This window comes from Homo sapiens, chromosome 14, assembly GCF_000001405.40.
Source record: "Homo sapiens chromosome 14, GRCh38.p14 Primary Assembly".
Taxonomy (NCBI): Eukaryota; Metazoa; Chordata; class Mammalia; order Primates; family Hominidae; genus Homo; species Homo sapiens.
Window position 1 is genome coordinate 106,756,180 of NC_000014.9, and position 15,791 is coordinate 106,771,970.

General features: G+C 42.2%; 2 gene segments (V, D, J or C) and 1 further gene; all 3 read right to left on the minus strand.

Moving 5' to 3' along the window:
* The window catches only part of IGH (immunoglobulin heavy locus), a 1,293,408-nt gene that overhangs the window by 1,169,743 nt on the left and 107,874 nt on the right, over positions 1-15,791 (minus strand).
* IGHV1-69D (immunoglobulin heavy variable 1-69D) lies at positions 5,913-6,351 on the minus strand. The segment is given in 2 exon segments: positions 5,913-6,219; positions 6,306-6,351. Coding segments are annotated over 2 exon segments (353 nt in total).
* IGHV2-70 (immunoglobulin heavy variable 2-70) lies at positions 14,398-14,841 on the minus strand. The segment is given in 2 exon segments: positions 14,398-14,709; positions 14,796-14,841. Coding segments are annotated over 2 exon segments (358 nt in total), but the record flags the coding sequence as incomplete, so codon positions are not given.

The following is a 15,791-nucleotide window of genomic DNA, read 5'->3' on the forward strand; positions in this document are numbered from 1 at the left end:
GTGTGGAGAGCAGAGCGCAGCTCCATTCCTCCTCACTGTGTGACCTGGGATGTGGCATCTTCCTCTGAGCTTCATTCGGACAAGGTGTTAATATAAAATTGCAGCATTAAATTTACCTATAACCTTTCAATTAGGAGCCAGTGCTGTTCAGAATTGTTATCACTACTGTTGTCCAAACCCTTAAATATTATAAAATACCTGTGTGACCCCTCATCTCAGACCTCAGATGACCACATTGCAGAGAAGACACCTGCTTTGTTTCTGTCACGAACATGGTATTAGAACGGGAAAGTATGTGTAACCTTGTTATAGATTTTATGTTAATTAAGTTACAATGGGTAAAATTAGAATTAGTAAGTGATACTTAAAATTTAGCTTTGGGGATTTCTAGCAAAGTGTGGATGGTGTGTTTTGATTTCTCCTTGCTTAATATAGTATAATGTGAGAGGAGGAGATAAATTAAAGAAGAAACTATCCAGCAATGTGGAATCAGGTATTTTATATATAAAGAACGTTCTCACCTCTTCTGGAAACCCCATAAACTTAAAAAAAAGTGAAGGAACTTTAAGACATATTTCTATATTCTGGATACTTGACTAATAAAAACTTAGATTTAGGTGCAAAAACAGATACATGGAAGATGAAAATTCTGCAGCAGATAATTTTGTCAAGTAGGCAGCTTTATACTAGTTTGTAATTTTACCTAAATATCCCAAAGATAAACCCCAGAGAGATCCAAGTAAGAAATTATAACATTTCAATGTTAGATGACTGGTTGAAAGAAACTTGAACTAACATTATTTTGATGAATCATAACTCAATAATAAAACTGTGTCTAATGGTACACCTTTTCAAGAGTCTGCTTGAGTAAATAGTTTCTACCTCTCCTACTTGGGAGTCCTGGCACAACCCAATGTTCTCTAAACCTGGGGGCCACTAAGAACAGAGGCAGCAGTTTGAATATTATGAAGTTATTATGAATTTTTGAGAGATCCACACTTATTGACTGGGGTGATTGGTGAGGGTGGTCTCTATGACCCTAGTCTTTGAAGAGTGTGGCTCTTTGTTATGATGAGCAAAGAGCTGTTTGTTATGATGAACAGATAGCAAGAAAGACCGTCAAGGAAAATGAAGAAACACGGGAACATGGTCCAAACAGACAGACAACATAGAGGTCCAGAATCTGGCATCAATGAATATAAAACATATTGATGTTCTGGCAGAAAATTTGAAGTAAATATTAGAAACATGTTTAGTAAGCTAGTGGCAGCATGCAAGAACAAAGTGAGAATTTTAATAGAGATAAAAAAATTTAAGAGAGGACTAAACAAAAATATTTGTGTCGAAGAATACAATAAGTCACCCAACAATTTTAACAGAGCACACTGTGGGAGAGGCTCAGGCTTTCCTTTCCCCTAGAGCAGGCAGCCCTGAAATTTCCCTAGACATGAATCACTGTTTCCTCCCGCCCACCTTCCACATTCTCCTCAGAGATGCCCCTGGCTCCGGAGTTCAGGTTCTCACACGTTGTGTGACTTTGGGTTAAAACACACCTGAAACACTGAGTGGCTGTTGTCCTTGATCACTTCATCATCGTCCCCATTTTAGTTGATGCGATTTTTTTACCTCATTTGAAGAAATGAAAATAAATATGTAGACTCTATCTAGGCCAGATTTTCTTTCTCTCTCTTTCTTTCTTTTCTTTTTCTTTCTTTCTTTCTTTTTCTTTCTTTCTTTCCTTACTTCCTTCCTTCTTCCTTCCTTCCTTCTTTCTTTCTTTCTCTTTCTTTCTTTCTTTCCTTCCTTCCTTCCTTCTTCCTTCCTTCCTTCCTTCTTTCTTTCTTCTTTCTTTCTTTCCTTCCTTCCTTCTTCCTTCCTTCTTTCTTCCTTCTTTCTTTCTTTCTTTCTCTCTCTCTCTTTCTCTCTCCTTTCTTTCTTTCTTTCTTTCTTTCTTTCTTTCTTTCTTTCTTTCTTTCTTTCTTTCTTCCTTTCTTTCTTTTTTTATGGAGTCTAGCTCTGTCCCCCAGGCTGGAGTTGAAGTGGCACAATCTCGGCTCACTGCAAGCTCCGCCTGCCGGGTTCACGCCATTCTCCTGCCTCAGTCTCCTGAGTAGCTGGGACTACAGGCGCCCACCACCATGCCCAGCTAATTTTTTGTATTTTTAGGAGAGACGGGGTTTCACCATGTTGGCCAGGATGGTCCGGATCTCCTGACCTCGTGATCCGCCCACCTTGGCCCCACAAAGTGCTGGGATTACAGGCGTGAGCCACCGCGCCCGGCCTAGAGAGATTTTCTTATCTCTCTTTCCCTTGATAGATGTGAATGTAGCCCCAAATATGATAGGAATCAGTAGACACTGCAGCTCTTACAACACTTTCTCGGTCCGCTGGTCCAACAGTGTGGGCACCACCGTAGCACAATTATTTTATGAGACTAATTCTGTATCCAATGCAGACACAGTTTTTTTATGTACTGGGACCTCCAGTCCATCACAGCCTATGATTATGGGGAAGGAAGGAAACATTTTTCAAATTTCCATCATACATGTGGTAAGAGAAACTCATATTTCTGTCCAGTGGTTTCCAGACCCAGGTGTTGTAGCTCCTGGCCAGGGGGCACTGTAGTGCTCTCTGTTTGGGGGCATGTAAGCATCCTGGAGAATAGTATTATCCTCAAAATGGCCCTTCTTTAGAGATTAAATTTCCTGCTATAAAACAGAGGCATAAACTACCTGCTGTTTATCTCACATCAGACTGTGGAGACCTAAGTCAATGCTTCCATTGTTCTGCTGGGGTCTTTGTTTCTGGGCAAATGTGAAGGAGCAAGAACTGCTGGATCGCAGACTCATGTTCCCGTGATCACATCTCCTGTCCCTTAACTACAGCTACATTCCCTCGTGTCAGAACACATTGTGCAATGTCTCATTCTAGGGAATAAGATATTCAGTAACTTGGACAGTGACTCTAGTAGTTTCTCTATGATTAAAAAAATGTGGAGATAAAAGTTAATTCTTCTAAGTATAAATTACTACCTATCAGGCTTGGGCTTTAATTTTTTCAAATTGTCTCCATATGACTGGTGGGTATCCTTACAGTGTGAGTTTTTTTTTAGACAAACGTGATCTCTATTGCTGTCAGTTCAGGCACTTGGTAAAAGGTGCTGGTCAGTCTGGTTGGAGGTACCTGGGCTCAGTCTTCATTATACATATTAGGGAAAGCTCTGATATAAACAGAGTGGATGCTGTCACTTATGTAGCAGTATGGATTAAACTGCAGAAGATCATCATACTATGAGGTCTCCATACCCTTTTACACAGCAGAGTAGATTTCCCTTGCTTTCAGCTGCCTGCTTACTTATATTAAATATTACTGCATGTACTTTTACTTTACCTTGTTTTCTATTCTAAGCTATTGCCTTCTTATTTAATTAAAGTAAGCAACAGTAAATTTTAAAAATAACAATCATTACCTGTAGAAATAACACAAAATGGACATGATGAATAAGCCAAGTAGAGACACCAGAAAACAAAGCTAATAAAGAAACACATGTGTAAGTTTAGAGTAGTCAGTGAGCACCGAAACCATGAAGAGCTTGTGTTGACATTTACACGAACAAAGTCAGTTATATTTGACATCCAGAAGGCTGGTCACACCCATGAGAGAAATATGTAGAGTGGTCCACCTAACTCAGAAATTAGAAAGTGATAAAGTCACAAACTTACAAAACCAGCAAAAACAACATTCAGTGTATTTAGTATTGAGCTCTGTTTCTTCAGGAAAAGGGATGGGTTATATCTGCATGGAAAATGGGACAAGTATTTTTTAAGCTGATTCTCCTGGGAAGTTGCTAATGAAATCATTCCAGTGATGCTCTGACACAGGATTTTGGAGAGGACGTTGACCCCTGGTTGTCGCTGTCAGCAACACGGGTGCTCAACCCTCGTGGGTGCCTTTGTTACTGTTTTGTCCACAAGAGATTTTAGGCTGTCACGTGCTGCATGCAGGTGAGTTTTTAACCCTCAGATGAAAAAAAATAACATGACCACCAAGAAGATGAGGAAATTGAAGACCTCACTTCATCAATCACATTACACTGATGAGAACTGTTTACACAGAGAGCCAGGGATGATCTGGGAAGAGGAAGGGGTTGGGGAAGATCATCCATAGAAGGACACATCCAGCCTGCTTGAACTCCCTGTGGAAGGAGGGTTTAAATATTTGCCCTCAGCTACTCAGGGGCATTTCAAGACCTTCACAAGCTTTCAGAAAAACAGTTTTCATTAACAAATGCCCATACGTTACTCAGAGTTTTATTTTTCATCATTTATTCTTCCTCTCTAGGCAGCTCCACAGTAGGGTGTTCTCAGAATTCTCCCTGATCCCCCTTGAGTTCCTGGTGAAGCTCCTGGAGAAAAGCCTGCATGGGGGAGGGAGCCCTCCTCATGTGCAGCCCTGAGGCTGTCCCATCACCTCACCCGCCACTGCCCTTCAGTCAATTGGTGAACATTTCTGAGCTAATCTTCCTGAAACGTGTGGCTTTGGGCAGTATATTTACCAGGTAATAAAACCCTTAAGCTCTGTTTGTTTCGGCAGGCACGTATCCCTTTCTGGAGCACAGGGTTGTTTTGAGTGTGTGGTAGTGGATAATTAGTGAGAGGAGGTTTGTGTGCATCTTGTCATCTCCCAAAGTGCACCCTCCATGGAGTTGACACCCACAAACAAGCAGATGGACTTGCTCAGCTGGAGGATGACAAACATTTTCATAACCTATGACCTCAGTGGTGCTCTTTGTCTGCAAGACCAATCATGATCATGCCTCTGGCTAATGTGCACTCATCAAGGGTGAGCAGTGCCCACCTCTGTGAGGGCTGCTTCAGGTGCACACTCCCTTTGTAGAGGGAAGCTTTTGTTCCTACCTGGGTCCCATGCATGTGTTTGCGTTTGCTGCACAAACCCCCTTACTCAGACTCACCACCCAAGAGCTTACAGAGCATCTAATCCAACTCTAGGGCATTATACATGGAGTCTCTCATTGCCAGGGTCTCCAATTCTCATGAAAGGATGTTCATTATGGGATTCCCCAGAACTTTCTGGTCTTTTAGAGACATGAACTGGCCTCTAAAAGCTTAAAAAAATCTTACTGTCTGGGAAGGAGCATTGTAAACCAGAAGTAAGATAAGCTCTAAATTAATATATATTTTGTGGATTTTGGAAGAAAGAGTTCAAATAGTAATAGCCTTACCCACTTTCCCTCTGACTAATATCAGTTCTAGAAAACACTGAAAAAACCGTGGAATCTTGAGATACTTAGGCTTGTTATATTAGGAGATCACCAGAAAAAGAAAGAACCAAGCGTCCTTGGAGATTCCTCCATTGTAACTGATTTGTGACTGCGGTGCAGGATGGTCGTAGTGGAGGAGGCTGTGCCTGTGTAGGGCAGGGAGTCATGGGAATTCTCACGCCTCCTGTGCAATTTCTTTGTAATCCTAAAACTGCTGTAAAATAAACTTTATGATAAGGAGTGACAGAAACATTTGAAGGAAACTTTTGGCACTTTTTAAGAATCATTCTTAGTCTCACCACATGATCAAATAACCTTGCTCCAAATCATGTATTCATCCAATTTGAAAACTTGTTCACAGTAGCACCTTCATGGAATGTTTGTATCAACTTTATAGAGTGTGGCCTTTTCCACTCTGTGAATCTGGCTTATATTACGACTCTTGAATGGAATAATTATCTTAAAATTAGAGGAGTATGTACTTGTTTCTACTGTTCTTTTTTTCTCAAATATATAACCCATTTTGTAAACAGCCTTAAACCTAATAAACCCTGTCATCTCCTCAGCCCGGCACAGCTGCCTTCTCCCTCAGGGTTTCTGACACTCTCAGGATGTGGGTTTTCACACTGTGTCTCTCGCACAGTAATACACGGCCGTGTCCTCAGATCTCAGGCTGCTCAGCTCCATGTAGGCTGTGCTCGTGGATTCGTCCGCGGTAATCGTGACTCTGCCCTGGAACTTCTGTGCGTAGTTTGCTGTACCAAAGATAGGGATGATCCCTCCCATCCACTCAAGCCCTTGTCCAGGGGCCTGTCGCACCCAGCTGATAGCATAGCTGCTGAAGGTGCCTCCAGAAGCCTTGCAGGAGACCTTCACCGAGGACCCAGGCTTCTTCACCTCAGCCCCAGACTGCACCAGCTGCACCTGGGACTGGACACCTGTGGAGAGGACACAGGGGTGAATAAAATCCTCTTTAACTAAACCAGGATCCCTTCCTCAGCCTTAGGACTAGGAAGCCCCTTACCTGTAGCTGCTGCCACCACAAAGAGGAACCTCCAGGTCCAGTCCATGGTGATGAGCTGTGCTCCCAGGGGCTTCTTTAGAGGAGGAATGTGGTTGTTATGTGATGCTCTCAGGGCACCAATATATCTATATTTATCTCAGAAGACCTCAGGTTATTTGCATATGCATGAGGCAGGGTATTTCACAGCTCAAAGCCTGATCTACGATGAGAAAGAAAACACAGATGCCACATCAGCTGTACAAGTGTGGGATGCTGAGAGACCAAGCCCTAAATCCTGCCTGAGGAAAAGCATCTCTTGCCCCATTTCTAAGCTTTCTGTGCACAGCGCTCTTCCCGCTGCAGAACAAACCCCAACCCCAGGATGCACTCCTCACTGTGAACCCACATTTTATTGGCCTAAAGATTACCTGGGTTTTTTGTGGGACCATTGCTGTCTCTGACATTGAGCAGGCACCTAGACCCATCCTGGTCCCATTAGGAACACTCAGAGCTCACTGGTAACACTGAAAAGGTGGCCACTCGTTACCCTACATGAGTGTCCAGCAGGACCCATGGAGAGTTCTGAGATCTGCTGGACACTCCCAAGACAGAGTCCCCAGCACTTTCCTGAGGGTCCTGACCTCCCAGGCCTTCAAGGGAAAGACTCTTGGTTGACAGATTTGCCGTCTGATGTGTGATTGGTTCTGAGACTTCCCTCCCATTGACAGTAGGAATCAGGGGTTGAAGTAGAAATAGGAATTTGAGTTTCTTGATGAACTCATAGCTCCCAAAATAATTACCAAGTAATTTGTATTTTGAATAAGTTTGTGTTTTATTTCAAACTGCATTAAATAGAATTATTTGAAGTATTTTCATGGTTTTAGATCATATCCATAGATCATCATCTTTACATGTTGATTTCTGTTCCGCTTGGTCTGGGCACCTATCACACTCTTCAATCCACTGCTTCCAAGTCACAAACACAACGTAGGAAACTTTACTTATCTCTGAAGTCTGAATACCTTCTTCATAGGAATATAGTGTCTCCCACAGTTATGTGCCCATTGAATTAAAAAAAAACCATCCATATCCTTCATATTCTCACTATTCAGATATTTATTATCCTAGAACCCCACTTAGAAATATAGCTCTCCTTGCTTTTTGAGTGATATAAGTGGCCCAGTTTCCATATCCTTCATATTCTCACTATTCAGGTATTTATTATCCTAGAACCCCCCTTATAAATATAGCTCTCATTCCTTTTTGAGTGATATAAGTGGCCCAGTTTCCATATCCTTCATATTCTCACTATTCAGGTATTTATTATCCTAGAACCCCCCTTAGAAATATAGCTCTCATTGCTTTTTGAGTGATGTAAGTGGCCCAGATGAAATAGAATATTTAGATGAGTATCAGCAACTTGCTGAACACTTAATTTAGAATGACTTGTTGAATAAGGAAGACTCAGGCCCTGGAAGAATATTTGCTTTTATTTATCTCCAACAAATAAGGGAGAATATATAATATCTGGTTTTCTGTTCCTGAATTAGTTTTCTAAGAGTATTGACTGCCAGTTCCATCATGTTCCTACAAAGGACATAGTTTCATTCTTTCCTTAGCTGCATAGTATTCCATGGTTGTATGTACCACATTTTTCTCTATCATTCTGCCAGTGATGGGGATTTAGGTAAATTCCATGTCTATGCTATTGTGGATAGTGCTGCAGTGAACCTACATGTTTATATTCCTTTAGGTATATGTCCAGTTGTAGGATTGTTGGGTCAAATGAAACTTCTGTTTTAGGTTATTGGAGGGATCACCACACTGCTTTCCACAATGGTTGAACTCATTTATATTCCCGCCAGAAGTGTATAAATTTCCCCTTTTTTCTGTAACCTTAAAAATCTGTTATTTTTTTTTTAAGATTAGCCATCCTGACTGATGTGAGACGGTACCTCATTGAGGTTTTGATATGTATTTCTCTAATGATAGTGATATTCAGCACTTTTTCCTATGCTTGTTGGCCACATGTAGGTCTTTTTTGAAGTGTCTTTTCATGTCCTTTGGTCACTTTTTATTTCTTGAATGTTTGTTAAATTTCCATGTATATACTAAGTATCGGACCTTTGTCAGATGTATAGGCTGCAAATATTTTATTTCCCATTCTGTAGGTTGCCTGTTTTCTCTGTTGATAGTATCTTTTGCTGTACAGAAGCTCTTTAATTTACTTAGGTCCCATTTGTCAATTTTCAATTTTGTTGCAACTACTTCTAGCATTTTCATTATAAAACCTTTGTCAGTTCTTACCTCCTAAATTCTGTTTCCTAGGTTATTATCCAGAGGTTTTATAGTGTTAGGTTATACATTTTGATCTTTAATCAACATATAATTTTTTTCAATTGATGCTGAAAACGCATTTGATGAAACAACATCCTTTCATAAAAAAACCATAAAAAATGGGTATAGAAAGAACCCATCGCGACAAAATAAAAGTTACATTCGAGAGACTTTCAGGTAGTATCAGGTTGAATGAGAAATAACTAAAAGTCTTTTCTCTAAGATCTGGAACACGACAAGTTTCCCACTTTAACCACCGGTAAAGCATAAACCCTTCTGCTGCCACCATAGCCGGCTCTTACCTGCGAGCACCACCTACTGGCCTGACGTTCAAACTGCATGACCTCATACAAACTCAATACCACCAGTGTACAGCAGTTGAAAATGAGATTAGCTTCTCATTACTTCGGTGATTCCAACCCCGCAAAAGACCACGGGCCTGCTCACATACCCAGTATATTACCACTACAACGGGAATTTGAAAAAGCCACCACACTAAAGCTCTTAATAACAAAAGAAACCACACTGAGTAGATGCCCCTCAGCTCGCCATTTCCATCAAGGCTGGCGCTTTTGCTTGCCAGGCTCGGTGGCTCATGTGTGTCCAGCTTGGTCCACCTCTCAGGGGCTGAGCAGGGAACTCAGGTCACTGTGCATTTCATAGACCAGTCCATCGCCTGAGGCAACAGAGAGCTTCTCCCTGTGCACAGATATCAAGCATGTACTCAACTGCTTCTACCAGAGTCAGCTCTAATCTGTAAGACATCTACTAATGTGGAGGGTGAACTTAACAACCCAACACAAAATCTGCTGAAACAAAGGCATTCCAAATGAGAAACAGTTCCTGAGGCCTCCACTATCTAGGACCTGCAGCGGGCAGTGAGCCTACTCACAAGTCCAGTACTTTGGTACTAAAACCACCATTTCAGAAAGCCACTAAATAATGGCTATCTATAGACAAGGAACTCTTACAGAGTCTTTGCCACTAAGTAAACCAAGAACCAAAATCAAAATACCCACACAATGTACATTATATTCACATTCTAAAGGGAATTAAATATTCATCAAAATCAGAATGAATTAAAAAATAAGAAGAAGCGATAGTTTAGCTAATGAAAAGCAAACAGATAAGCAATTCAGGAAGTATGAAAAAACAGAGTCACAAAACCCCAAATATCACCTTAACTCTCCAGCAATAGAATCTAAACAACATGACATATTTGAAATGTCTGATAAATCATTCAAAATGTTGATTTTAAAGAAGCTCAATTAAACCTTTTTCTCTAGTGGCTCAGTAAGCACCGGCACTGAGACAAGCACTATGAAGACAATTGCAGCCCACCCCCTGATGAACTGACCCCCTGTTCCGCAAACCATAACCCCAGCTTTGATTGAACACTAGAGTGATATCAGGAACTTTCTCCTGATCCAAGACCACTGACCATGGCCTGGCTCTGGCCGTTTACAGAAGCTGCACACTGAGTGCCTTTGTGTCTCTGCTTGTGCTGTTTGCACATAGGGCCTCACTGGAATGAATTTAAATGCTAAGGCTCCACTGGTAAGTGAACAGGGGTCATATGTTACAGACATGTTTGTTCAGTATGCATGTGTCAGGACCACCTCCATGAACATCTATAGCCCCTCCTGTAACCTGTTGATTATGTCTGTTTAGCCAAACCCTTCAGCATAAAGCTTCTGCCCAACCCCTTCTTCCTGGGAGTGCCTTTCTCTCGTCTTTACCAAGAGCTATGCTTTCCAGGATATGGGATGGCTGTAACCCTTGATAAAAATAAACTCTCACTTTCCTAAATTGTAGATTGTGTTTTTTTTTTTTATTTAACACAACTGAAGATTAAATTCCGAAGTTCACCTAATTATAAGGCTACTTGCACTGGATGGTAACTCCCTCTGCCCCAATGCCCAGCATGCACTTTTTCCTGGCTGCTGCTGGCTGACCTTTGGAGTTCTGTTGAGCTGGGCTGTAATGCTGAGTTAAACACCGCACCTTTTATAGATTTAGCTGATTAACTTCAGAAGCATTGGTAACTTATTGACATTGAGAAACAGGAGTAAGTGACTGTAGGTGACTCTGCCTTTGGTGCATGTGAGAAAGTTTTTCTCTTGTTACGACAAATGTTTCTTCTTCAGAGACTTCACAGGAAGAACAGGATAAGGAATCCAGAGATATGCCACAAAGGAAACTGTTTTATGGAGAGGAAGCCACAGGGTTGACAGGAAACCAGAACTTAACCCGCATCTGCACCTGCCCTGGGGCTGGCTCTTGTGTTCAGTGGGTCCTGAGCGCCCCCAGGTGGTCCTGTGCCCACTTCAGGGAGGCTTGTTTCTGGGCTCATACTGACTTTTTTTCTAATTGTTTTCACAAAAATGGAGACAGAGTAAATGGTGAATCCATGCATCTCAGAGAACACAGAACAGCAGAATAACACCCCATGCTCCCCCCACACACATTTAGGTAAATCTTATTAAAATTGTTGAAAACCAAAGACAAATAGAAATACAGGCAGACAAGTGGAGGTGAGTAGAGGGGGCATTCCTTCCAAAAGAACAGAAAAGACCATGACAGCATTCTTCTGGTTAAAACCTTATAAGCAAGAAGAAAATTGATGGTGTCTGTAAAGTGTTGGAAGAAAAGCCAGCCCATTATTTGATAACCCATGGATGTTCGCTATGAAGTGAAAAAAAAAAACAGTTCTATTTCTCTTTGACAGCATGAGGGGCTCAATGAATCCATGCCCTCATGAGACCAGTGAAAATTATTTTGGGAAATTACAGGTTTGGAAAGACTCTAACAGCACACAGTGAGTGAAGAAACATTTATTCAGGAAAATCTAGAAAACTCAGTAAGGCCAGTCATCATATTTGATCTAAGATGCTCTTCCTTCCTTCCACATCCCAGCTCAGCATGATGTAAACTCCACTGCGGACAGATGCAGCCAAGAAGACAGGACACCTTCTACCAACTCCCACCAGAGGAAACGCTTTCCCAGGGGCCAGTACGTTGGCCCTCTGACCCTGCACACAGCACATGATGCTGAGGTTCAGTGCTGGACGAGAGCTACTGAGAGCCAGAGACTCACTTCTTCCATAGAGCCCCACTCGTGGATGGAGGCTCTGCCCTGGGTCCAGTGCCACTGGGAACATTCAGTCCGCGGTTTCTAGCTCTGCCCTATGGCACCGATTCCGCCCCACCAGAACCAAAGTGCTGGGATGGTGGGAAGCTTCTGCCCAACCCTCCAATTAGCGCTCATCTCCTAGGCTGAGGAAGAAAAAAGCTCAACTTCGTCTCCACCTGCAGAAACTTGGTTATGCACTCTGTCCCAGGAGAGAAGGGGCACTGGAATTCAGTCATAAAATATGATCCTTAAGTTGGTCCTAAACATCCTAACTTCAATAACAACAGAATGCGGAAAAGTTCAAAGCCTGCCTGTGCTCTCAGAAACAGTGGAGGGTGTGGGGGAAGGTGCTTGGAGGGAGATGGGTGGATGCACGGGAGATGCAGGCTAAACTGCAGGGCTGCTGGCTTGCAGGAGAGAACCGAGGAGGTGGGAGAGCTGAGGGACGTTCTCTTGTGGTTGGAACAAATGCCGGACGCTGTTCAAAGGAGCCCGTGTTTGTTTCGTTCAGTCTGTGAAGCAGTTCAAACCTCACTGCATGGTTGAAAATAGGATTTTCCATCTGCAAGTGGTGGAGCTCAATATCTGGGTCTGGTCAGGAAAGAGACACAGAAAGTCCAGCCCAAACCACTGACACCTGAGGATGACCGTGGTGCTTACAGCTGTGTCCCTTTGATCTTTGAGACTGGCTTCTCTCACTTAGCACAATGTCTGGAGTTCACCTGTAATAGTTTATGTATCGGTCACTTGTTATTTTTTTATTGCTGGTGGTATTCAATTTATAGATGCTTCCTAGTTCTTCACCTATTCAAATTTTGAGACATTTATGTTATTTTTACTTTCTAACACACATACACACGATATCTTGAATATTTGAATAGAAGTTATGCGTGAATGTAAGATTGTTTTTCTCTGATGCAAATATTCAGGTGTTAAGGGTATGTTTGATTTTAGAGAAAACTAAAAATTATTTTCCTGAGTATCTGTTTCATTTTGCATTCCTGTTAGCAATGTTTTAGCCTCTAGCAACCTGGTATGCTCACCAGCATTGATGTTATCTGTATTTCTTCTTAATTTCAGCCATTTTAAAAAGTGTACAGTGGTGTCTCTTTGCGGGCTTGATTTGAATTTCTCTAACGGAAAATCCTGTTGAGATCCTGTTTATATGCTTCAGTGTCATCTGCACATCTTCTTTGACGAAATGTCTGTAGAAACCCTTGCCTAATTTATCCATCAGTTGTTTCTTTTTTATTCACAGTTGAGTTCTGAAGTTTCTTATTATAGTTACATTGGTGGTTATTTGACTCGCAAACAGTTTCTCATCTGTAACCGGGCATTCATTTTCTTACAGTCATTTGAGTAGAAAAAGTTTTTAAATTTAATGAGGTCAACTAATATCAAGTTCATTTATTGATCATATTCTACATTTTAATTTTAAGATCATTGGTCAATTCTTAATTATTTTATATTGTGCCTGTTATGTAATGACTCATCATGCTCCCACCTTCTGCCCGCCCATCCTTGTAAGTCTCCAATGTGTGTAATTTCTCTCTACAAATCCTTGTGTACACGCTGTTTACCTCCCACTTACAAGTAATAATGTGTGACATGTGACATTCTGTTTGTGAGTTAGTTCACTAATTATATTGTCCCCCACTTCTATGCATCTTGCTGCAAAAGACACAGTTTCATTCCTTATTGTGGCTGACTAGTATTGAATTGTGCATACATGCTATATTCTTTTATAAAATCATCGGTTGGCAGACACTCAGTTTGACATATGTGCTATTGAGAGTAGTTTTATGGTAAGCATAGAAGGTGGGTATCTTTTTGAAATAATAGTTTATTTTCCTTTGGGTAGTTACCCAGTAGTGGGATTGCTGGACCAAATGACAGTTCTATTTCTAGTTTTCTGGGAAATCTCCATACCATTTTCCACAGAGGTTGTACTCATCTACATCCTCATCAACAATGTCTAAGAGTTGCCTTCATTTCCCATCCTCAGCAACATCTGATATTATTTGAGTTTTTAGTAATAGTCATTGTGACTGGTGGAAGATGATATCTTATTGTGGTTTTAATTTGCATTTCCCTGATGGTTAGTGATGTTGAGTATTGTTTATATATTTATTATCCATTTCTATGTGTTCTTTTGAAAATGTCTACTCATGTCCTTTGCTCATTTTAACGGAGTTATTTGGTTCTTGTTGCTGTTGTTGTTGTAGAGTTGTTTGAGTTCCTTGCAAATTCTTCATATTAGTTCCCTGTCACAGGCAAAGTGTGCAAAAGTTTTCTGTCATTCTGTAAATTGCGTATTCACTCTGTTGTTGTGAAAAAAATTATTTAGGTTAATTAAGTCTCATCTGTCTATTTTTTTTTAGGTAGCAGGACCTTTCATGCTGAATCTTTGTCAAACAGGATACAGCTTCTGCTTGCATGAACCACTAACAGGGGACATGCCATTTATTAGTAAAGAAGAGGGAGGAAAACAAGGCTCTGAGTCAGATGGGGATGGGAAACGCAGGCCCTGGCAGGAAATGGCATCTCAGCCACACTATCCTGTTCTGCAGAGGTGGGGAGGGAGCACCACTGAGAAGCAGCCTGGGTTCTTGTACAGGAGGCGCCCTGGGCTGTGTCTCTGTGGTATCCGTGCACAGTAATACGTGGCTGTGTCCACAGGGTCCATGTTGGTCATTGTAAGGACCACCTGGTTTTTGGAGGTGTCCTTGGAGATGGTGAGCCTGGTCTTCAGAGATGTGCTGTAGTATTTATCATCATCCCAATCAATGAGTGCAAGCCACTCCAGGGCCTTCCCTGGGGGCTGACGGATCCAGCTCACACACATTCCACTAGTGCTGAGTGAGAACCCAGAGAAGGTGCAGGTCAGTGTGAGGGTCTGTGTGGGTTTCACCAGCGCAGGACCAGACTCCCTCAAGGTGACCTGGGATAAGACCCCTGTGGAGAAGACATAAGAAGATGAAGCCCACAAAGGAGAGAATAGATTTTTTGCTTCTGAAGTACTACCTGACCACAGCACTCACAGGACGGGACAGTCAGTAGCAGGAGCGTGGAACAAAGTATGTCCATGGTGGAGAGCAGGATTCACTGAGCGAGGCCCTGTCCTCGTCTTTTGAACCCAGGGGAGGGTGGAGCTGGTGGAGATTTGCATCCCCTCATCTGAGCCCTACTCTATGGGGTGCACTCAGGTCTCAGGACTCAGTAGGGGAGTGCATCTGTGGTGAGGAGCAGTGAGCCCTCAGGTGTGGGGGTCCACGTGTGCTCTCCATCAGGGAATCTATCTCATTTCAGCACCATGGCTCTCAGTCAAGTCTTGACGCTCCTGCTTCTACAGACAGGATCTTCTTCGATGCTCCCGCACCGGACATGCAACCTTCTGGTTTTAGTCCTAGAGGATTAGAGTAGAAATCAAGAGAGCTGCCGTTCCTCCTCCCTTCAAGAATAATGATGGTGGGCATCTGGGGGGCAAGGGGCTCCCCACAAGCATTCTGATCAAAATCCTCTTTGATTATGGGGAAAAGTGATGAATTTGTGTAAAAAAATTGGAGAGAATAAATAAGAAAATACAGTTACAAGTAATTATGTAAAGAAGTGTGTGCTTAGCAGTGTGTGTGCACACAGCTGCATTCCTAGAGGCATGTTCCATGAAAAATCGATGTTGTCCTTGTGCCCCGTCAGTTCTGTGGAGAGAGTAGACTGCATGAATGACTTCCCTTTTCTCAGCCCATGAATGAGCGGATGCTTTGGACAAGGGAATTGGAAGACTCCTGAGGGAGCAGCAGGCTGACTGTTGCAGCCTTGCTCTGCACCTGCACTGGATGTGGTCTCTGTGCTCATAAGGCCGTGGAAACTCATCAATCCAGGTTCAAGAAGTTAACTGCAGAGTTATATTCATTTGTGTTTTCCTTTGTAACAAGAAAGTTCTGAGTTACAGATGATATAGTGGGTGGTCTCCTTAGGACTGGATGCTGTGAAGCAAAAGAAGACAACCCTAGATTGTAGTCAGAGGTTCTCTGGCT